The following is a 26,035-nucleotide window of genomic DNA, read 5'->3' on the forward strand; positions in this document are numbered from 1 at the left end:
CATTTGTTTGTGTCATCTTCAACATCTTTCTGTAGGGTTGTGTAGTTTTTCTTATAGATGTCTTCACCTCCTTAGTAAAATTTATTCATGGGTATTTTTTTTTCGCTACTGAAAATGAGTTTGTATTCTTTTTTTTCTGAAGGAGAAAGATTTTATTGGCACAGACATGTATTATTAACTTGACAGAGTTAAGCAGTAATTTTTTTTAAAAAAGTAAAAGCTGGTTCCTCTGAAACTAGTTTCAATGTGGTCAGCAAGTCAGCAGGTCAGAAGCAGATTATAACCACTCAGTTTCGCTTTAAGCCACGACATTAGGAGGCAATCTGTAAAACTAGTATAGTTTCTTCAACTATTACACTTATTCATTCACATGATTGGCTGAGGTGCACAAAAATAAAACTCCTATTAAAAAAGAATCATGCCAGGGACAAGACCAGAGATAGTTTCTGATATTGCAAAGCTCGATAGTTGCAGGGGCCCTAGGAGAATGTGACTTTCTCCAAAGGGCTACCATACCATCATACCTCCTCTGAACTTGTCACAAATGTGGAAAGCTGCTTGCTTAGAGGTACTGCTCACAGGGGAGAATTTTCATCTCGTTACAAACTCCACTTTCCATCACTGAGTCTCTGTCTTGCTCTCTGAAGATGTATAGGTAGGGGAGGTGGAGGGGGAGTGGGGGAAAGCAGCCAGAGCCAGGCAGCAGGCACTACATACAGCACTAGTCTTTGGGGAAAAAAACACACGGTGCTTGCAGCAGTGGCTTATGTGGTCTAACTGTCTGCACTACGGCTGTCAGTCCACTGAATGGGCTGGGAGGTATCCAGAATTTGGTGTGTGTTATTGGAAGATAGCTCTGATGGGTCATGAATAGGTTAGACCCAATCCAATTCAGGCCACATCTACAACTTGTATCTTACGTGAACTCAAAAAATAAAACACACTTCTACCTCCATCTCATCCCCATCCCTGACTATATGCAGGGAAAAACTCCCCCAGGACTGTCCAGCCAGGCCTACAGCAGATTAGATCTTTTCCCAGTACTGCTCAGTGTGTGGAATTTCAGCCACCACTTCAGATTCAATTCCATAGTGATCTTGTCCTCTGAGGATTTTAAAGAAGTTATTGTCACAGATAATGGCCTTCAGCTCCATCTATGTCCCTGCAAAGAACATTATCTTGTTCACTTTTATGGCTGTATGGTATTCCATACATGTGTATATGTGTATATGTACCACATTTTCTTTATCCAGTCTATCATTGATAGACATGTAAGTGGAAGTTAAATGATGAGAACACATGGACACATAGAAGGGAAAAACACACACTGGGGCCTGTTGCAGGGAGGAGAGTGGGAGGAGGGAGGAAATCAGGAAAAATAACTAACAGGTACTAGGCTTAATATCTGAGTGATGAAATAATCGGCACGACAAACCCCCATGACACAAGCGTACCTATGTAACAAACCTGCACATGTACCCCTGAACTTAAAATAAAAACTAAGGAAGCCATTATCACGCCAGTACCTATTCCAGGATTTGCAACCAGCCAGTAGGACGTGCTGTTCTCCACTTTGCAGCCCAGGATGCAGATGGCATGGCCTCCATCATCTCTCCAGTGACGCCTTGCTATTCTTTGAGCTTGTACAGCAGGAAGTCCAAATACACAGAGAAGGCTTCCTCCACTGGGTCATTTTTGTAGATCGTGGCCATGATGTCCTTTGTGCTTCGGAGACACTGTAAGAACTGCATCCATAGTGCTTGTCCTATTTGTAGGTCTGGCCAGGCTCGCAGGTCATGCTGCACTTGGGGGGTCTCCCTTCCGCACGTATGGAGCCATGGATGTGGTGCTCACAGGGAAGGAGGGATGGAAAAAGTCTTCAACCTACATGAGAGTCATAGAGGCCACCAGAAACCAGGCCTTTTCTTGTCCAAAAGTTCCAACCTTCATTGGGATCACCACCATTGCAGCCGTCCCCACACAAACAGGTGAGCTTGTCCTCCACGGACACCGCCACATGATTTCCTCCCTGAGACATTGGGGTGGATGCAGATCCAGTCAGAGATGGCTTCCAAAGCCCCCAAAACCCAGCAAAAGCCATAGGAGCCCTGGTCCCTGATCTCTCTGAGGTCAGTCTGGCCACTGTTCCTGTGGATCAAAGCTTTCAGGCAGATTTATGTCCTAGCAAACTTAACTCTCTGGAGTAGCTTGGATCTGCCGAGGAAGGTACCACATGGCCTCATCAGGTAGCTCATTCCATTTTGCAGAAGTTGTGCCCGGCCTGTTGCGTGGTGTTTTGTTTGTTGATATAGTTGACTAGTTCTTTGGACAGGAGGTGCAAATAAGGTCTGCTTCCTGCACAGGCCAGCACCAGCAGGCAGCAGAAGGAGGCCAAGAGCCGCCTCAAGTCTGAAGATGGATCTTGGATCCACCTTTCTGAGTTCATAGATTCATCAAGATGAATGCACCTCAGCTACATTCTCCTCTGACAGGAGGTACTGAGGGATCAGTTTTTCCAGGATACCAAACTGCGCTAGGTCTTCCTTTGAAACCAACAGCATTTGTTTTTTAGTGGGTGTGGGGGTCTCTGTTAGGTCAGGTAGAGGAATGTGAGGGTTGGGCTATAGTCGTTCTCCCGTCACAAACCTGTTAACTTCCTCAGTCAGTGCAGAAGCCCAGGTGCAGGGCGTGTGTGCTCCTTCTCCACATGCCCTATCTAATCACCCATTCTCTACTCTTGCATTTTGTATTTATTTCTCAGCCAGTTTATTATGGGTTCATAGAAATGCTACTAATTTTTGTAAGTTGATTTTATATCCTGTAATTTTAATAAATTTATTAATCAGATCTAATAGTTTTTTGGTGGAGTCTTTAGGTTTTCCTAGATGGAAGATCATATCATCAGCAAAGAGGGACAATTTGACTTTGTCTTTTCTAATTTGGATGCCATATATATATATACATATAAATATATATACACACACACATACACATATATGTATATGTGTGTGTATATATATATGTGTGTGTATATATATGTATGTGTGTGTGTGTATATATATGTGTGTGTGTATATATATGTGTGTGTGTATATATATGTGTGTGTATATATGTATGTGTGTATGTGTGTGTATATATGTGTGTGTGTGTGTGTGGATATATGTGTGTGTGTGTATATATATATATGTATAATTTTTCCTCCTGCCTGGTTGCTCTGCTCTGGCTAGGACTTACAGTACTATGTTGAATAGGAGTGACTAAAGCAGGCATTCTTGTCTTATTTCATCTCTCAGAGAAAAGACTTTCAGCTTTTCCCTACTCAGTTTGATGTCAGCTGTGGTTTTGTCATACTTGGTCTTTATTGGATTGAGGTATGTATCTTTAATACCTAGTTTGTTGAGGGTTTTTATCATAAAAGGATGTTGAATTTTATCAAGTGCTTTCTCTGCATCTATTGAGATTATTATATGTCTTTTGTTCTTCATTCTGCTGATGTGACATATCACATTTATTGATTGAGGTAAGTTGAATCATCTTTGCCTCCCTGGGATAAATCCCACATTATGATGGTATAGTATTTTTTTCATGTGCTATTGTATTCTGTTTCCTAGTATTTCACTCTGTGAAGCAAACATTGCCCCAGTACTAAAACCAGACAAGGACACAATAAAAACAATGAAAAAAACAAAACAAAACAAAACAAAAAACAAACCTACAGGCAAGAAAATATCCTGATAAAGTTAGGTGTAAAAATGTTCAACAAAATACTAGCAAACAGAATACAATAGCACATGCAAAAAATACTATACCATCATTTTGTTTTTGCTGCATTTTATAGGTTTTGTATGTTGTGTTTTGATTTTCATTTGTTTCAAGAATATGAATTTGATTTTCATATTCTTAATTTCTTCCTTGACCTAATTGCCATTCAGGAGCATGTTGTCTAATTTCCATGCATTTGTACAACTTCCCAAGTTCTTTTTATTGATTTATAGTTTTATTCCATTGTAGTTTGAGAAGACACTTGATATGATTTCAATTTTTAAAAATATTTTAAGAACTATTTTGTGTCCTAACATATTATCTATCTTGGAGAGTGTTCCATGTGCTGATTATGAGAATGTGTATTCTGTAGCTATTGAATAAAATGTTCTGTAAAAGTATTTTAGGTCCATTTGGTTTAGTGTGTAGTTTAATTCTAACATTTCTTTGTTAATTTTCTCTCTAGATGGTCTGTCTAATGCTGAAAATGGAGTGCTGAAGTCCCCAACTATTATTGTATTGGAGTCTATGTCTCTCTTTAGATCTAATAATATTTCCTTTATTTATCTGGGTGCTCCTTTGCTGTGTGCATAGATTTTCAGAATGGTCATATTCTCTTGCTGAACTGATCCTTTTAGCATCGCGTAATATCATCTTCTTTGTCTCATTTTACTGTTTTTGATGTCAAGTCTGTTTTATTTGATATAACTACTCCGGCTCACTTTGAGTTTCCATTAACATAGAATTTTTTAAATATCCCTTTATTTTCAGTCTATCTGTATCTTTAAAAGTGATATGAGTTTCTTATAGGCAGCATATAATCCTGTCATTGATATGGTATGGCTCTGTGTCCCCACCTAAAATTCATCTTGAATTTTAATCCCCACATGTCAAGGGAGGAGGCTGGTGGGAGGTGATTGAATGATGGAGGCAGTTTTCTGCATACTGTTCTCATGATAGTGAGTGAGTTCTCACAAGATCTGATGGTTTTATAAGTGTTGGGCAGTTCCTCCTTCACATGCTCGCTCTCTCCTGCTGCCTTGTGAAGAAGGTGCCTGCTTCCCCTTCCACTATGATTGTAAGTTTCCTGAGGCTTTTCCAGCCATGCAGAATTATTTCCTTTATAAATTACAGTCTCCGTGAAGTTCTATACAGCAGGGTGAAAATGGAAAAATACAGTCATTTTTTATCCATTCAGCCAGTCTTTATCTGTTAATCAGAAGTTTCATTCATTTATATTCAAGATTGTTATTAACATGTGATTGGCATTGGGTGCTAGGATAGTGTATTTCTGTCATTGTATTAATTAATTTCTGGTTGTTTTGTATATATTTTTTCTTCTCTTTCTCTCTTATTGTTTATCATTGTGGTTTAGTGGTTTTCTGTAGTGGCAATATTTGAGTCTTTTATTTGTTTGTCTGTTTTCTGTACCAGTTGATTTTACATTTGTGTGTGTTTTCATGATGATAGGTGTCAATCTTTTGCTTCCAGGTATAGGACTCCCTTAAGCACTTATTGTAGTGCTGGTGTAATGGTGATGAATTCTCAGCACTTTTGCTTTTCCAGGAATGACTTTATTTCTCCTTCATTTATGAAGGATAACTTTGCTAGGTATAACATCCTTGGCTGACAGTTTTGTTTTGTTTCTTACATCTCTTATATCATCTCATTCTCTCCCATCCTGTAAAATTTATGGTGAGAAATCTGCTGTGGTCTGATGGGGGGTTTCTTCATAAGTGACTAGATGCTTTCTCCTGCTGTTTGTAGAATTTTCTCTGTCTTTAATATTTGACAGTTTGACTATAATGTGCAATGGAAGACTTTTATGAATTTTATCTATTTGGCTATCATTTAGCCTCCTATATCTGAATATCTAATTATCTTGCTAGACTTGGGAAGTTTTTATCTCTTATTTCATTAAATTGGTTTTCTAACCCTTTTGTTTACTCTTCACCTTCTGGGACTCTGAATATTTGCATATTTTCCTGCTTTATGGTGTCCTACATGTAAATACTCTTTGCTCATTCTCTTTTATTCTTTTGTCTTTACTTTCACTTCAGTGGGTTGTTTCAAAAGAACTGTTTTCACATTCTCTATGATGTTTTTTTCTGCTTAGTCTATTGTTGATGCTTTTGAATGCATTTTGTATTTTGTTTAATGAATTCTCCAATTCCATATTTTTAAAAGATATTATCTCTTTGGTAAATCTCTTATTCATATCCTGATTTTTTTTTAGTTTATTTGTATTGTTTTTCAGCATTCTTTTTTATCTCACTCTGCTTCATTAACACCAATATTCCTGATTCTTTTTCCAGGATTTTATAAATTTCTCTTTGATTGGGATCTGTTGGTGAAGAATTATTGTGTTCCTCTAGAAATGACATACTTCCTTGTTTTTTTGTGTTTCCTGTATACTCACATTGATATCTCTGCATCTGGTTTATCAGTGTTTTGTTCCAATATTTTTTTCTGAATTTGCTTTTGTATGGGAGGACTTTTTCCTGAAGATGAGTCTATGGTGTTGGTTGGGTAGAGCATGTTGGCTTTGATTCTGGGTGTACTTTGTAGTGCAGTCTCTGTATGATTTCTTTGGCTGTAAACAGCATCAGATGATGTCTGTGAGTTACTTGGTGGCTTAGGGTTGGTTGTTTGTTAGTAGAGGCTGTGGTGAAGTTGCTGGGAACTAGGATGCCAGGTGGGCCAGTTTTGGGACCCCAGTGGTGGCAGCCATGTGCATGCCTGTCTTTGAGTGTCAGGGTGGTGTATGCTGGCACTTGCGTTAGCAGGTCCAGATAGGCCAATTCTAGGGCAACAAAGTGGCTTGCTCAATTGCCAGGAATAACAGTGGTGGGCCAAGCACCCAAAAGAGTTCTTGGGTCCCTGGGAAGCAGGTGTGGTGTGGACAATGGCAGTACCAGTGTTGGGACAACCCTCTGGGACCCAAATTGTCCATGCTGGTGTTGGTGATGGTTGTGACAGGCTGGGAAGGCCAGTCCTTAGACCTACTGGTGGTCCATGCAGGTGAGTACCAGATGTGGTGGTAGCAACTGTTTGGGTAAACCCAACTCCAGTCACTGGAAGGAGTATTCAGGTGCCAAGAGTGGACTAGGCTGGTGGTCTCTAGGCCCCCAGATGTCTTGCTCATGTATTGTGAGGGAGGAGCTAGACAGCTAGATTGAGTGGATCTCTCCTCACCCCTCCCTCCCCACTTCCTAGTGGTGTATGCAGAAGCTGGCTGTAGTAGGCAGGGGCAGAGAAATATCCAGGTCCTTTGGCAGAATGAGCAGTAGCAACACTGAAGCTCTGCCACTGGGGAATGCAGGGTTGCTTTAAGCTACAGGCAGTGGTTTAGTGTAGGGGGAGGGCACATTCTTTGCTTATACTTGAGCTCTCAGTAGCCCACAGTGGTGGCAGCAGCTGTAGGCAGTAGAATTTCTCCTAGGGCATATGAAAATCTTTGGCTGCCTCTCTGTTAGGAGAGGCAGGGTCACTGCCAGTGGTTCCCATCTCACCCCTTGCTGTTGCGGCTGTGGGCAGGGAATGTCAGTGAGGCTCCAGAAATGTGGAAGTGCAGGGACTGTTGAGCCCCAAGGTAGGATGCAGTCTGATGATGGCTGAGCTCTCAAGATGGCAGCATCATGTAGCTTCTTTTTTTTTTTTTTTTTTTTTTTTTTTTTTTTTTTTTTTTTTTTTTGAGACAGAGTCTTGCTCTGTCACCCAAACTGGAGTACAGTGGCAAGATCTTGACTCACTACAACCTCTGCCTCCCAGGTTTAAGCAATTATCTTGTCTCAGCCTCCCGAGTAGCTGGGATTACAGGGACACACCACCATGCCCAGCTAACTTTTTGTATTTTTTTTAGTAGAGACGGTGTTTCACCATGCTGGCCAGGTCTCGAACTTCTGACCTCATGATCTGCCTGCCTTGGCCTCCCAAAGTTCTGGGATTACAGGCGTGAGCCACCATGCCCAGCTCATGCTGTAGCTTCTTAAGGCTCAGGGGTTTGTTGGACCTGTTGTGAGCTCTCTCTGGGGCAATGTCATTTATGGTCTCCAGGCAACTCCCTATGTTAATCTCAGGTCTCTTGAGGGTCCAGAGCCTCTCTCATTGCTAGAATTGCAGGAGTCCACAGTGAGAATTTGGACCACCGGGGCCTCTCCCTTACCATTTTTCGGCATTCTCTAATTCAGAGAACCTCTGAACCTGGTGAACCTAAACTCTCCAGGCTCTCAGCCAATCCCAGCCTTGCAGGGTGCCTTGCTTCCCTCTCCTTCTCTGCTTTTGGTGTTTCCTGTCATTTCTATGTTAAATTCTAATGTTCTATGATAAATGGTCTATTCAAAATACAATTATCTACTCATTATTTTGGTTCTTTGTAGAAGAAGCAAGTACCAGATACAGCTAGTCAGTCATCTTGAGGCTCTCCCACCTATAAACCATAGTTAATAAAGATAAATCAAACAAAAAGAGGAAAAATCTAAACAACACAAAAGAGGACACTAAAGTAAAGGGGAAAATACTAAGTCATCATCATCATCATGAAATGAAGCAAAACAATCACAAAACTACTTAGAACAGAAATAAGATGGTCAAAATTTATCAGTTATCAAAATAAATGATAATATACATATAAGTTAAAGGTAAAAAGGATCATCAGAGTTAATGAATAAACCATATATATACTATTTCAAGACAGATATAAAAACCTAGAAACACGGAAAGGTTGAACATTGTTTTTTTAAAGGAAAAAAAAATGCCACCTTTCTCACTCTTTGCAGACGTGTCCCATGCTAGGGAACTTCTTTACTAAGTAATAGGACATGTTCTGAAACTCCCAAAGAGCCTCATCTGTGCCACTCCTTGTGGCTTCACATGGTCTAATGTATATCTCCACCAATGATACCTTTTCCTACATGTCTGTGGATCTTCTTTTCCCTATAGCTTTTATGAACAAATCCCATTGCATTCAACCACTTTCTGCTACCTGACCTCTGAGAGAAGCAAAACATAGACCAGTCCTTTAAGCATCCAAGACAGATGAGAACTTTGCCAATAATGTCCCCTGTGCTGCCTCCAGTTCAAGGATGGGAACTGGGAACTAGGCTTCTGTGTCTTCCAGACAAAGACCATGCTGTATAGTGGAAGGGGTAGGGCAAAAGTAAGCGAAAATACCATAAATTTCCCTTCTATTTTGAGTGTGGCTTTCTCTTGATTGGCCATTCCCTTGGTTGCTGTGTATCTCTGACTGTTTTCCAGAGCTCCCACTAGGTGGCTTTGCTATGCATCATTTTTTTTTATTATTACTATTATACTTTAAGTTCTAGGGTACATGTGCACAACGTGCAGGTTTGTTACATGTGTATACATGTGCCATGTTGGTGTGCTGCACCCATTAACTGTTCATATACATTAGGTATATCTCCTAATGCTATCCCTCCCCCTCCCACCACGCCACGACAGGCCCCGGTGTGTGATGTTTCCCACCCTGTGTCCAAGTGTTCTCATTGTTCAGTTCCCACCTATGAGTGAGAACATGCAGTGTTTGGTTTTCTGTCCTTGCAATAGTTTGCTCAGAATGATGGTTTCCAGCTTCATCCATGTCCCTACAAAGGACATGAACTCATCCTTTTTTGTGGCTGCATAGTATTCCATGGTGTATATGTGCCACATTTTGTTAATCCAGTCTATCATGCTATGGATCTTGTACTGTCTTCCAGAGTTCCCATAAGGGAACTCCTACAAGCCAGCTGGCTCATATATTAGCCAGCTTTTGCTTGCTGTTTGACTTCTCTGTTGAGGGGAAAAGGCTTGGAGCCTTCTAGTTTGCCATTTTTAATCTGGTCCTTCTAACATATAAGTTTTGTAAGTTAAGGGAATTGGATTGTTTTATCACCACTGTACACTCAGTCCCTAGAGTAATATCGGTAAATAGTGGACATGATATAACTATTAATTGAGCACATTTTCAACTTTCTGCCTTATATCTAATCATAACATCAACTTATTTTATTTAATTTTAATAAACAATTTAAAAAATAACTATCTAATCTACCCTGTTGTTAGTTAGTCCTACGAATCAGAAGTTATATATATTTTGATATTGATGGTGTTAAGAGAAATATTTGTAAGAAGAGACTACCACAGAGATAAGCATGGATTGTGCCTTAAAGAATTATGTATAGCATAAAAATTGGTTATATTTTGTTCTGTAAGAGGTGGAAAGCTATCAAATGTTTTTAACCAAAATAATGACATGCTCACACTGCTGGTAGTTGTTGATTGGCATTGCCAGGAAAGTATTAAAAATATCAATTTACTCAGAATTTCTGCAGGTATAATATATATGTTACCCATATATCCAGGGAATCTAATAATAAATTTACTTTAGAAAAAAATGTTTCTGCAAGAAGAATTTTAGTTGTACAAAACAAGAGGATTTGAGCTTAATTACAATATACTTCCAAAGATTCAGAAAAAAGAAATAAACTTAATACTCATCTGCTAACCCCAGCTTTCTTATTATTAATTTTTGCATGGAATATTTTGCCTAATCTTTTAACTTATCTGTGTCTTGTATTTAAATTATTTGCATTCCTTCAAATATTTCTGGGCTTTGTTCTGGAATGTAGTTGAGTTACTTAAAAGCAATTCGAACCTTTCAAGGCATATTTTTAAAATAATTTCAACTTTTATTATAGTTTCAGTGGGTACATGTGCAGGTTTGTTACATGGGTATATTGTGTGATGCTGAGGTTTGGGGCATGGATCTAGTCACATAGGTAGTGAGCATAGTGCCCAATAGACAGTTTTTCAGCCCATGTCCTCCTCCTTTCCTCCCCGCTCTAGTAGTCCATAGTACCTACTGTTCCTATCTATATTTATGTTCATGTGTACTCAATATTTAGTTCTCACTTATAAGTGAGAACATGGAGTATTTGGTTTTCTGTTGCTGCATTAATCCATTTAAAATTATGGCCTCCAGCTGCATCCATGTTGCTATGGAGGACAAGAATTTGCAAAGGACATGAACAGACACTTCTCAAAAGAAGGCATACAAGCAGCCAACAAATATATGAAAACAATGCTCATTATCACTAATCATCAGAGAAATGCAAATCAAAACCACAGTAAGATACCATCTTGTACCAGTCAAGACACATTTTTAACCTTTTTAGGGGAGTTCAGGATAGCTTTTTATCTAGAGCTCACATGACACCATTAGAGAATCATTAATATTTTGTAGACTCGAGTTGAAACCTTGTGTATTAAGAGCTCTTTTCATTTTGGGCTGGTGGGAATGTGAATGATCTTTGATCCTGTATAATTTACAGGGATTATTCTACTTGATATATAAATTCCAGGGATTGTTCTATGTCTGGTACTGAGGTCCATGAACTCAGTACTCAGCTGTAGATTTGAGGGAAACACTGCATGTCTCCACAGTTCTCTCTTTGCCTCCCACTGTTTGGTCTCTGGCCTGTGAATTCTAGCCCTCTTGATTTCCCTGAGCTCTGAAGTCCCTCAACTAAGAAATACGGCCAGCATCTATTTAAGTTTCCTTGTGTTTTTTTCCTAGAAATTGCCTTTGGTCGGTAAGATGGAGCAATCATATGGTTCCACTTGCGTGTTATTTTTCTCTCAGTTCTCAATGCCATGCCTTGTGTGTGATCCAAAATACGAGAATATTTACGTCATGTATTTTATGTATTTTTTTTTTAATTCTTTAAGGTGGAAGAGTAAACTTGGTCCCTGACACTTTATCATGATAAGAGGTGGTAAGTTCAGGAAAACTTATAATTGGCAAATGGTATATGGGAAAGGTAGAGACTGATTTCAAAATGTTTAGGAAGAAAAATCAATACAAATCGATTGTTTAATCTGACATAGGCTGTGAGAGTGGGAAAACAACCTAGAACAACCAACTTGTTACACTTTTCATGGTCAAGATTCTTGTCCCTTTAACTCTCTCTGTTTCCTATCGCCCAGTAGTCTATTTATTCTCTAGTTTTTATTTGACATGGATGTATAAATGCATTCCACTAATTATTTATTTTACATGTAAGTCTGCCCTCCAACATGCACCTCTAGGCCACAATTATATCTAATCAACCTTTGAATATATTTTGATATATTAATATTATAGGCTATTTTCACTGTATTTTGTAATAGGAAAAAATATCCAGTGAGACAACATACTGACCATATTAATGAACCAGGACATTTTATGTGATAGAAAAATCTCCTACTGTTCTCAATCATCTTCAATATATACATTTCAGAATAAATTTATATTGTTGGGGTGAATTCTGAATATACAAAATAGTCATTTATTGATTTGGGTATGAAACTGTTATTTGGAATCAAATATTGAGACCTACTGATATTGAAATAAGGAGGACCTTATCTTGTTCTACAAATATAAGTTAAAATTTAAAAGATGCCTTCTATCTATTTAAATAATTGCATTTTGGGATGCCACTATAGGGATACAAAAGAAGCAGAAACAGAAACACATAGAGGAAAAATAATTTTTAATAGATTTATAAAACATTTTTCTCAGTATAAAAATCTTCCTGAAACTGGAATATCACTCTCCCAAATTCTGTTCTCCAAGGATGAAATAAATTCCAAGTGGGACTAAGATATGAAAATACAGTGGTGAATGGTTATTTATTATGAATCAACAAATGTTGATTTGTATTTGTAACAAAAGTTGTTTGTTTTCAAATTTAATTAATCTTAGAACATTAGTGTCTGATTTTATATTGTACTCTAAATTCATATTTAAATCTTATTCTTCATAAAGAATGATTAGGTAGGGAACAAATATGAGCTTTGCCTCCCAACTTCAAATTCTTGATCTTCTCACGCATATATTTAAAAAATGTTAAGTTTTTGTTTCAGGTTAACAAATAGATGGAATGGCATCTTATTCAGTGATAATATGTGAGTGTTTTATTGCTAAGGAAATGGAATGCTACCCTGGTTGCCTTCCAAAACCCCAAATTTGGGACCACTTACCATGTCCAGTACTGACAAGGTAGAAAATAAGAACACTTGGACTTAGCAACAAGGAAAAAGTAAAAATAAAAATAAAAAACTCTAGTACTGGTATAGTACTCTAATGAGCTGCAGAACTCCATGCTGACTTCAGGTGCCACCAGAATTAGAAACTAGATATTGCTTACCTCTGTTTAAAAAAAATAAATAACTGAAGACTGCCTGCAACTAAATATGCTTAACTTTCAACCTTCTCTGTAATAAATAGAAAAAGTATCAATTATGCATAACTAGGTAATACAATAATGATTTTGAGATATGGCTTGCTCATGTTAGCATTTACTGAATTGATTATATTATTTACATTTTTGGATAAATTTTCATTGCCATATAAATTATCAAAGTAAACAACATACAAAAGGTTTCTAAACTTAAAGATAATAAACTGTTAGAACTTGAAGAACTAGCACACTGCTCATTCACTACACTTTTTATGTGAAAAACATGTATGTGAAAACATAAATTGAATATAGATTACTTACATGTGAATAGAGAGAATTGTTACAGATTGCAGGTATGTGTTCTTCCACATTTAATATGTTGAAATCCTAACCCCCAGTAGAATGGAATTAGGACGGAGATCTTTTGGGAGGTAACTAGGTCATGAGGGTGGAGCCTTTACAATGAGATTAGTGCCCTTATAAAAAATACTATTAGAACAAGTAAGGGAATACTTGTTTCTGATTTCTTCTCTCCATCCTGTGAAGATACAATGAGTATCTGCGGAGAAAGAACAGAGCCCTCACCTGACACTGAATCTGCCAACACTTTGATCTTGAACTTCCCAGCTCCCAATGCTGTGAGAAATAAATCTTTGTGAAGTCACACATAGCAGCCCGAACAGCTGAATACAATAATTATTGATTTTGAGATAAACGTATATGTCTATATATGTCTGTATGTATGTATATAAATGTGTTTATGTATTGATATCACACATTTATTCACACTATGACTTGGATACCCTGCAACAATGTAGCTTTTTCATTTTGTCTATAACTATTGTAGATGTCCTTACCTTCCATATATAGAAAGAATAATCTCACAATCTCATCAACTAACATTAGGCTGACAATAATAACATAAATAGTGACTTTAAGTAATGTTCAGCCTCTCTAACTAAAAATGCTTGATCCTTAAAAGTTCTCCTCATATCCTGCACCTATCTAAGATAGTTCCTTTGCATCTGGTGTTTGGGTGAGGCTCTGTAACTTGGTGGTGTTTGAGAAGAGTGCTTAGATCCTCTGTGGCGTTTTCTTGTTTCGCTAATCTTTAAGGTAACATTCCTTATTCAGCAGCTCACTATGTTTTTCTAGCATTTGATGATTTAGTTAGGAGGTGATATGATCATGTCTTGTTTAGATTTGTCAGAGCCCATGGTTTCTAATTCACCCACTCTCATTTACGAGGTAGTTGGCTTCAGGGACTCTATTATATCTGCTAGTGACTCACATTGGTGCAGAAGGTTGCTCAGGAAAACTGAATATCTCTGTGACCATGCTGAACTTTCCAGCTTATTTGGAATGACCTCATACTGGCCCATCCAGAGAAACGTTCATCCCAGTTATAACACATTCCACAGCTGCATATTTTTATCGAGATAAATTCTCGCCTGTAATCCCCGCACTTTGGAAGGCCGAGGTCAGCAGATTAAGACCATCCTGGCTAACACGGTGAAACCCCATCTCTACTAAAAATACAAAAAAATTAGCCAGGCCTGGTGGCGGGCGCCTGTAGTCCCAGCTACTCCGGAGGCTGAGGCAGGAGAATGGCGTGAACCCGAGAGGCGGAGCTTGCAGTGAGCCGAGATCGCTGCACTGCACTCCAGCCTGGGCGACAGAGTGATACTGTCTCAAAAAAATAATAATAATAATAAATAATTAAAAAATTATGTTTTTGCATAAATTTTTACTGCCATAAATTATCATTTTACTCTGATTTAATAATTTAATAATTTTAATGATTAAATTTAGAATTTGTTGTACTATTTTAAAGTTTCATAATACCCCTCTCTCTTTCTAATTATTAAATATGTAATGGAATGTACATTAAACTTTCCAGATAATGTAATGTGTGAAACTTTTAGCACTGTCCCCATAATGTAATGCCTCATCACATAAAGCAACAGTAGTCATAGTCTACACTAGGGAGAAAATTCTATTATTACAGTTGTACTCATTTTCTAATGTTCTGTAACAAATTACTGCAACTTAGAACCATAACATAATACCCATCTATTATCTCACAGTACTGTAGGTCCAGGCATGGCATGGTTCATTTCTTTCATTAGAGTTTCAAAAGGCTAGAATCAAAGTGGCAGAGGGCCTGTGTTCTCATCTGCAGCTCAAGGTCTGCTTCCCAGTTCACATAGTTTGGTAGGTTTCAGTTCTTTGCAATTGTAAGATTGAAGTTTCTGCAGCTGTAAGACAGTTTTCAACTGTCAGTCGGAGGATGTTCTGATCTTCTTGAAGTTGCCTATGTTCCTTATCATATGACCTTCTTCATCTTCAGAACCAGCCTAGGAAAATACCCTTCATGTTGATCTTCTTTCATGCTTCAAATCTCTGCTAAGCAGAGCTCAGTCAGTTTGAAGGACGCATCTGATTAGGTCAGGTCCACTCAAGAGAATATTCTTTCCTTAAGTCAACTGTGTTAAAATAACCTAATCAAAGGGCTGACTATGCCATTATATATAGTTCATAACCACACTCAAGATACAATGGTAACTGAGGGTCATTACAGAATTATACTCTGATAGTCAATCATCATGACCTTTAATGTGTTTAAACAAAAGTTAAAGTAATTTAGGAAATAGATTTTCCTCTCTTAAGAATGGCTGTTTTTCCAATCTATAATCTTGTTGCCTGATCTGATTTTTAATATCAGAAGCTGAATATTAGTAACTTTATTATTTTTTTCTGATGTAGTGTTTGTATTTGTTTTTTTCTTTAACTTCTTCTCTCCCAAAATATCTACATGGGTTACTCCCTCACTTTATTCTGGTATCTGATCAATTTCCATCTTATCAGAAATATTCTTTTTCATTTCATATTAACAGCATCTTGAACTCAATTCTATATTTCTAATTTTCAAAAAATATATACCGTTTACATGTTATATAATTTATTTTATATGTATTTGTTTATGTCCTGTATTTCCTATTGAGAGAAAATGGCTTGTTTGTTTAATTGCTTGGTATCTCAAGTGCGGAAAAGTTTCTGGCACATAATAAGGTGTAATAAACATCTATTCTTCCTGTTGCTTTATGATGTCATGTATTAGAATTAAAACACTTTCTATTTTTTTCTTCACATGGATTAAGATTGTGTTTACTTTTTCAAAAAGCAATGTTGAGATTTTTACACTAAAACCAATGTTTAAGAAACAGAAAAATGTGTCTTTTAGCAACCAACAAGAAATTTTAGACAATTGATACAATGAGAAATAAGACTATTTACCAAAAAGATGATAGTTATCTTCTTAAAACAGCTTTGCTAATTAGTCTGTAGAATATAACTCAATCATTTCATTGATTTCTCCAAATAGTTAATAATTATATTAACTATTTTGCATTTATGAAATGGAACAAATTATGTGTGTGTTTTTTAATGAAACATAATTACTTAAATAATTAAACAATTCATTATTTAATAATGTTAAATCTTTGAAATCTATTGACAATACACAAAAGAAATTAAAGCCAGGTATGGCATTTTCATTTAGAAAATATAGTGCAACTTTGAATAAAACTCCTTTCTTAGGAAAATTGAGAACACCATAATTATGTTGCAAAATGATTAAATGAAGCAAAGAGATTTAGGTACTAGTTAATTCCTTTAGAAAATAGGTTTGTTTGTAAAACAATCTATTACACATTTATAACCCAATCCCCACCCAAAAGTGCTCTATGTATATTTCCAGATAATAGTTTTCTTCCCGAACATTTTACCATGCCTTTTATAATCATTTATATATTAATGTAATAAATCATTTTAAAAATATAAAGAAGATTTAAACAATGAGTAATGGATTACCAATCCTCTTTAGAAATTTAGCACAAATTTAGTCTTGGTAATTTATCATGGTTTTCCTAAAAGTGAAATAGGTGGGAAGTCCATTATCAGTACCAAAATATGTATTAGTGTATTAATTAGGATTAAGAGAGGTAGAAAGAGAGGGAAAGAGTAAAAGAGAGAGGTGAAGAGAGAAAGAGATTTTTAGGAATTGGCTTACATGATTATGGTGACTTGGTAAGTTCAAAATCTGCAGATCAGGTAAGGAAGCTGGAGACTCAGAGAAAAGTTCCAGTTTGCAGCCAAAGGAAATCTACTGGGAGAATTCCTTCTTGTTCAGGGAAGTCAGTCTTTGTACTATTAGGAACTTCAACTGATTAGATGAGGCTCACTCACAGAAGAGAGTACCAAAACTGCTTTACTAAAAGTCCATCAATATAAATATCAACCTCATCCCCAAAACTCCTTCACAGAATTATCCAGAATAATGTTTGGCCAAATAGCTATGTATCATGGCCCAACCAAGTTGACATGTAAAATTAACTGTCACAGGGATCATCAAATATTAATAAAGGAATTGTAGTCAAAGTAGTTAAGCACATACAGGCAGTTAGTGGAGAAGCTGTGTTTAGAACCCAAGCCAGCTGTTCTTTCTTCCCCCAGGAGAGTGGAATTTCACTACACCTTCCTCTTCCTAAACATGGCACAGATATTACATTAAAGAAATGGGGAAATCTATGATTTCTTATTTAGTGAGTTCTAAACTATGTATCTAAAATGACATAAAATGTGAATATACATGATCAAAGGAAAAGCGGTACAAGAACATCTATAATACTCAACAGGTGGCAGAAGAGCCCATGGAAGTTAGATTTTACATGTAGCTGAACTCACTGAGTATGGAATTTCCATGGTAAATGCATCTTCTAGCTTAATTTAGTATGAGGGGTTGATGTGGAGGTCAAGTAGAACTCTTGTATATTATCCTGCCAATTACTTCATCCTATTATTTTAATTCCTAAAATCAAGAACTATAATTCTCAGATAATCCCACAGAATGAATACATGATTGATTCACACCCAATGTTGTAACATGTTCAGTTAGATATGTACATGAGACAGAAGAATGTAAAAATAATAGCACTGGAGGCCAGGCGCGGTGGCTCACACCTGTAATCCCAGCACTTTGGGAGCCTGAGGTGGGTAGATTGACTGAGGTCAGGAGTTCGAGACCAGCCTGGCTAACATGGTGAAACCCTGTCTCTACTAAAAATACAAAAATTAGCCAGATATAGTGGCACATGCCTGTAGTCCCAGCTACTCAGGATGCTGAGGCGGGAGAATCGCTGGAACCCGGGAGGTGGAGGTTGCAGTGAGATGAGATCACACCACTACACTCCAGCCTGGGCAACAGACCAAGACTCCATCTCTGAGAAATAATAATAATAATAATAATAATAATAATAATAATAGCACTGGAGCCATTAGTATGTTGATGTTACTTAAAATGCCGAGTGCACAATATTATCTAAAATAGATTATACAATGACAAGAAAATTAAGATGAGAAGTAATGTATGTGAAAAACCAATATTTAAGGAACTGATGGAAACCACTGATCAGGAAAGGAATCTGTAGAAAAACAAAGGCTGTATTCTTCATTGTAGAATATTTTAAAAGGTAATCAGAAAGACAAAAATAAGAAGTGGGAGAAAGCTTGGGGTAATTTTGGTCAGAAAGAAAATTAGTTTTAAAAAGAAGTAAAAGTTAGGTGAGTATTAAATCTTCTCTATTTTTGCTAGAATTAATTAAATGTATTAAGACAGTTAATTCAGGAAAGGAACAAAAATAGTATGAGAAAGATATAGCAGAGTTTTTATATTTGTTTCACAACAAGAATGAAGTAAATCAGTAATATATTTTTAGTAGAATTAAGAATGAACTGACAACCACAACTCCCAGCTGCCTGATTTGGAAGATCTCCACTTTACTTTGTAGATGTTGTAATGAGAACATGCTACATGCGAATGAATAAAGCATTAATTTCTGAGAAAGCAACACCTTATGGAATCTTCTGGTGCTCAGTCTGCAGTAATCATTAAATGAGATCACGAAGATTTGCACTGATGTGGTAATGCAAAGAGTCTGCAAGCTTGCAAATCCTCAGGTTCTACTGATTCATTATATATTATCTCTGGCTTGTTCATAGTCAGTGTTAAGAAAGTAAATATTTATAAATCTGAATTTCCTCACCTACATCTTCCAATTCCATTGTTCCATGGAAGAAAACCTACAAACTGGGGATGAAAAAGTTACCTACTGAAAGCTTTTACGCATTAGCTTTGGTTGCAACCATTTAGCATTTTACAGCCTGGATATGTTTCCTTAGATTATGCTGCCAACAAGCAGCTCACATCTATAAGTAAAAGGGGAGCCAGAAGAGGAAGGAAAAAGAGAAAATATCCACAAAAAGCAACTAAAGAAATCACCTGAGGAGAAATAGGACAGTAGAATCATGGGGAAATATTTGAGAGAGGTTTAAAAAGAGAATGAACAACAGAGCCAAATGCAACAGAGAAAAACATCAAAATGTGCTTTGGATGTAGGGATATGGCCATTACCATTGAATACTTTCAGTTCCAAGAAGAGAATTGAGGGACAGGGACTATCAGGCCATCGAAACCACACTATGACCCAAAAGTAGGATTACGAAGTACATGTGCATAAACAACCCAACAAAAAAGCACAGTAAATTAGAACCACTCTCAGCCAGGTGCAGTGGTTCACACCTATAATCCCAGCACTTAAGGAGGCTGAAGCAGGTGGATCACTTGAGGTTAGGAGTTCGGGGCCAGCCTTGCTTGCCAACATGGCGAAACCCTGTCTCTACTAAAAATGCAAATTAGCCGGGCGTGGTGACGCGCCCCTGCAATCCTGGCTACTGGGGAGGCTGAGGTGGGAGAATTGCTTGAACCCAGGAGGCAGGGGCCGCAGTGAGTCAAGATCGCGCCACCGCACTTCAGCCTAGGTAACAGAGGGAGATCACGTCTAAGAAACACAAGTGAGGACAAAAACAAAGGGCAATAGAAATTCACAAGAGGTTCTGGTTTGGAATTAGGTCCTTGAAATTAGTTTTGAAAGCATGTACTTGGAGTCATAGGCCCACACCTAATCAATGCTACAATTCAAAATGATTCAAATGCATAGTTAAAAAGGATAATTCCATATAGAATAGTTTCTATTTTCCAACATCATACATTTATTTGTTAATTTTTGCTACTTATGGAAGTAACATGAGTTAACTTAGAAAAATAGGAAACATAGAAAACCATAAAGGAAAAACCACTGTCAGAAGCCCAAATGAGAATAACATTTATTACCATTATATTTCCCTTAGTTTTTATTATAATTATAATTATTTTGGCTATAGGTGTAAAATTATATGAATGTTGGCATATAATTTGCTAAAAATTTAGACTACATTCTACACACAGTGATGCATAATGCTATTTTACTTACAATCATATTGTGAGCTCTTTTACAACAATAGTAAATTTTTAATGGCTACACAATTATAGTCTATTGCATTGCTCTCCTAAAATAGTACATTAAAATTTTCTTGGTTTTGGTCATTTGGGTTTTTAAGATTTTATTTTTAACTAACTTTGTAATAAACATCAATATTTACACATACATCACAGTTCCACTTTCTGGTTATCATTTTATATTAAAATCCTAGAACTAAATTATGAAATCAAGAGTAGTAAAAATTTAAGCTTTTGATAGATTTATATTTCTCAAACTAGTTATAGTTATTTTTACCTTCGCTATTATATAAGTTCGTTTTTGATAGATTTATATTTCTCAAACTAGTTGTAGTTGTTTTTACCTTCGCTATTATATAAGTAACTTCATTTTTTTCTATATCCTAAAAACAATACATATTATTGTGATTTAACTGTAAATCTTGGGGATACCAGGTTCAAAATAGTAATTTTTTTTCTATTTACATGTCTTAATTACGATTTGAATTTTTATATTTATTTGTGATTTCATATAATAATTTTCTTGTGTAACATTTGATTCTGTGAAAACAAAAACCTTCCTCATTTTTTTCACTATTGGATCACTACTCGATTAAATTTTTAGATTTGACTATATTAATATATTAACTCATTGTCTTTAAACTATCCATTAACTGATCCCTTCTCTGTCAGTAGTCAATTTTATTGTGGCTTCTTATGTATAAACGTTTACATTTTTGTATTTTGTCTCTCCCTTTAGATTACTCTATTTGTGTTTTTCTTAGAAAGCCTTTCAGATAAGTATTGTTTTATTACTTTTCTTTATATTTTAAATTCAACTTCATCAAAATCACATTTTGTTATATGGTCTGAAGAAAGGTTTTTGCTTTACTTTTTCTCAACTATTTTACCATAAATGTATACTCTTTAGTGACTTTTCTGTAAATACATTATTTTTGCAAGCAAATGTTCATGTTACTATTCTTACAGTGAGTTAAATGAGTACTCTTCACTGGTTTCTATATTTTTTAATTTCATTACTAAGAGCCATTAAATTATTCCTTTATGAGCTCAGCCATCAGAATAACACTTGTTGTAGTGATGGGAACATAGAGTGTGCCTGAGTCATTGCTAGTGAAAGCTTTGGTTTGCTTGCAGTAACTTTTCATGTAGATATGAAGCAAGGATGCAATTGAAAATTAACTTGGTTGTGAAAATGCATACATGTTTTAAAAGTTGTACTATTGAGTGTTTCAGAAATACACTCGAAAATTGCATCTTCTTTTCTCTTATAATAGATTACGGGAATAAAATATGGAAATATCAGAAAATGACTAAGGACTTGTTTCTTATTGCTTCAGAACAAATAGAGGAAACACTCCCATGATAAACAGAACAAAAACAATTTGAAACTGTTTACTTTCAATAAAATTTAAAAATTCCCAGATCAGAAAGAGTCTGAAAAAGAGTTTGAACTCCACGACATTAGCAGTTAAAACTAATGATAACAATAAATTACTAGTCATCCATTATTTATCAGGAACTTAACTCTCACCGAAATCCTACGATATTATTATTCTTTTATGCCATAGGAAACTAAACCTCAGAGAGTTGAAGTAACTTGTCCAGGGGATATGGATAATGGCAGAAACAGTTCTTTTCAAATCCAAGTGTTTTCAGAAACTCAATTGATGACCTTAATCATCTCTTACGCTGAGTCACTCATGTTAAAACTCATTAGCGGAAAAAAACATTTAATCAAGAGATAGGTCTCAATTAATTTTAGCTGACACCTTTATAAATAGTATCAGATGTTATCCAGAAATTGATTTCTTGCAAGTTTTCTCATTTTAAAACATTCCAAAGATTTTTAGAGTTCCATATTCCTATAACAAAATGGTATTTGGTTAAGTTAGAATCTCTACACACTCACACACAAGCACACATACACCGAAAGGCAGCAATTAATCCCCATTATTTGTGTAATTGTATGCTTTAAAACACAAAGCAAATAATTTCGTAGAGTCAAGGGAGTGATAGTAATAATTATTCTGGGACAGCAATCCTGAACAAAGACTTCTTTAGCACAAAATGGGATATGTGATCACTCTACCATACTCACAACTATCTCTTAAAAAGAAGATAGATAATTCTACAATTTTCTGTTTATATGTACCTAAGAAATAAATATGCTAGGCCAGAAACTAGAAATCAGGCTTTCTGAGCCTACAATAAAGCAGAAGGTGGAGGCCATGCAGAAGGCAGGCTTATTGGAGGCAGATTTTTAATCAAATGATGATAGTACCATGAATAAAAGTTCAATGTATGTGGGATAAAGTGAAGAGGAAAATTGTTATATAAATAAATATTTATATCCATAAAAATAAAAGATGAAGGAAAGTGAATTAAATATCTAGCTGAAAAAGTTGGAAAAATAAAGCAAGTACAAAAGAAAAAGCAATAAATAATTAGAATAAATTTATGCATTACAAAACATAACTATGTAAAAACAGATAAATAAATAAGCAATGCTTGAAGAAAAAAATTGGCAAACCACTTCCAGTAAGCATCTTCTAAAATGTGTCCCCATCATCTCCAGCTGCTGACACTCATACCCTTTTATAAATTTCTGTCTCTTCAGTGTGGGCTAGATTTAGTGACTCACTTCTAATGAATGTAGCAGAGGTGACAAGATATGACTTTGGGAGTTAAGTTTGAGCATTATGGTGGCTTGCATTTTGGGAACACTCTCTCATGCTCTCTTGGATCTCTTGCTCTGAAGGAAGCCAGCTGTCATGTTGTAAGCTGTCCTATGGAGAAGTCCACATGACAACAAACAGGGAAATCTCCAGCCACCACCCAGGGAAAAACTGAATCCTGCCAACAGCCATACAATGAGCTTAGAATTGTATCTTCTGTAGTCAAGCCTTTTGCTAAGATCATAAACCTTTGCAGTACCCTCATTGCAACCTCATGGGACACGTTTCTGTCAGAAGCTCCCATGCTTAAGTGATTTCTGATCAGAAAAATTTTAAAGTGATAAATGTTTGCTGTTTTAAGCCACCAAGTTTTGTTTTATAGTTAACATACAATATATAATTAATACACTATTGAGGTAATAGAAACTTTTTAAAGAGTGAAAATAAATTTTAAAAATATACATAGTATGAAATGTCAAGGGGATTATAATTAAAGGAGATAAATTTTTAAAAAGAACATTATAATAAGACTGGTGGGGGGAGAATGAAATACAGTTCTGAATGAATATTTGATTCCCAATTTTAAAGGAAAACTTACTATTAAAGACAGATACTAGGCTTCATCACTAGAACTCAATGATGAAGCCTGGTGTTAGCGATGGTGGGGCAAGCTCACATGTACTTCTTAATATGTTGCAACCAAAAGTAAAGCACCAATGAAGAAGTAGTTTCCACATGTGCTTTACCTGTGTCTCAGAAAACCTTTAGAGCAAATTCCATATGAAATAGAGAGAAGAATGGCACAAACTTCTCTTCTGCCTGCCCCAGCTACCGAAAAAACCACTTTTTATCCACAGAGTAAATGTATAATTGTAATGTCCTTTGGTAAATTTCTGCTAGTTGAGTTGAAATTCACAAACTGGAGACTGAAAATTTTTGCATTAATTTTTTTCATGACACCTTAAAGAAGATAAAATTAACAATTTTTCTACCTATGTACCTTCTCAGTTTCCATTTACTTTCTTTGGCAACACTGCAATCTATGTGCTGGTACAACATTTTGCCTTAGGTCACTTCTTTACAGGGTGATATTTGACTTCGTTTCAAAATTTGGTGAATTTAGGGCCAGATTTGGGGCAATGTTATTTTTTTCTATTAGTTTTTAGTTCTTCAAATCCTGGCACTGAACCAATGCATCATCTGAAATCATGAAGAAAGTCACAATTTTCAGTGAGATACAACTCAGCTGGTAATCCCTGAAAGATTTTTCATTTAATCCAGAACTCCACAATCTCTTCCGCACTGATAGAATTTATAAAGTTGAGGGTTTTTTTTAACCTTTTAGACTATAATTTAATTAAAAGTTTTGGTATTTCTACTTGTAAAGTAATTTAATTTGTGTATTATATTTTTAAAGTTTCTCTGACCACCTTGTAGGGGCTTGTGGGGAGCACAAATGTACACTGCTTAACAGTATGTTTAGAAGAATCAACACAGGGAAATAGGGACAACTTTTGGTAGCAGGTGTGCTTCCTCATGGAAGGAAGAATTGGCCTAAAAGAAAACTTAGCTCCTTCCCTAAAAGCAGCATCCACATCTTTTGTTAAGATGAGGCCTGGTACTTGAGTCCAGTTAATTAAGAGAACATAATCCAGTGTAATATTATGGGAGAGGAACTTCCTTTCCTTTGCCTCAGGATTCCACATGGAAGGAATTTCATCATTAATTATAAAATTAGACTGTTTTCGCCTGCCTGCTGACTTCGGGGAAAAGTGGGTGACCTAACAGCAAAGTCTTAGAGTAATTTCTAGATGTACCTGGCTTAAGTCTTCCCTTTTTCCTTTACCTTTGATATTATAATAGCTTTCCTGCATAGAGTAAGCATCTATTCTTCTGTCTTACAGATATTCTCAGTTTTTTTTTTTTTTTTTACATAACCTGATAAGATAACCTCTATTGTCCAGCTCAGCCTATGACAGGCTAGATACGCCTCTTTCTGGGATGCAATATTAGCAAACCATATTATGTGTCATCCAAGTCAGGCATGTCTGTATATCTTTGCTGGGGCAAAAAGGCCATCACTGAATTATCATCTGCTGACTTGAGTTAACTGTCAGTTGTTTCTAACTTGAATGAGGAAGAGGATTATAGAGAGATCATACTAACATAATTACAAGCTTATAATGTTTCAACATTTTAATTTAATATTCCTTGAAAGAAAGTACTCCCTTCCCATAAGAGTTCAAGATAATCTAATGTGGAGTACAAAATAATATTAAAATTTATATTATTTTATCTAAAGTATGATAAACATTATTGTATTAGTAATTAATACATGCAAGGGCAATTTTACATTTTTGTATACAAGAAATATTTAATGAGCAACTACATAGGCCAGGCACAATACAGATTCTAGAGAGCCAGTGATGATAGAAAGAGGCAAAGACACAACATATAATAGATCTGTTTATGTCGATGTTTATAAAACAAGCACTCAAACAAATAAACATGTAACTTAAGATAGTGATAAGAATAATGAGAAATTCTAACACAGAGTCAGATGCCTGCAGAACATGATATAGACATGTTGAGATAACACTATCTTTTTTTTTTCTCTTTTTTCTTTTTGAGACTTTGTTGCTCGGGCTGGAGTGCAGTGGTACGATCTTGCCTCACTGCAACATCGGCCTCCTGGGTTCAAGAGATTCTCCTTCTTCAGCCTCCCGAGCAGCTGGGATTACAGAAACCTGCCACCATGCCCAGCTAATTTTTTTGTATTTTTAGTAGAGACAGGGTTTCACATGTTGGCCAGCCTAGTCTCTTACTCTTGACCTCAGATGATCAACCCACCTTGGCCCCCAAAGTGTTGGGATTACAGGCTTGAGCCACCATGTCCAGCCAATACTATCTTATTTAGGGTGGACCAAATGTACTGTTTTAACAGAGATCAAAAGAAAGTAAAGGAGTGACCTATGAGA

General features: G+C 36.3%; 1 pseudogene; it reads right to left on the reverse strand.

Annotated features, from left to right (window-relative positions):
* On the reverse strand, nucleotides 1,501–2,433 carry LOC100130674 (cathepsin B pseudogene; annotated as a pseudogene).

Source organism: Homo sapiens, chromosome 4 (assembly GCF_000001405.40).
Source record: "Homo sapiens chromosome 4, GRCh38.p14 Primary Assembly".
Taxonomy (NCBI): Eukaryota; Metazoa; Chordata; class Mammalia; order Primates; family Hominidae; genus Homo; species Homo sapiens.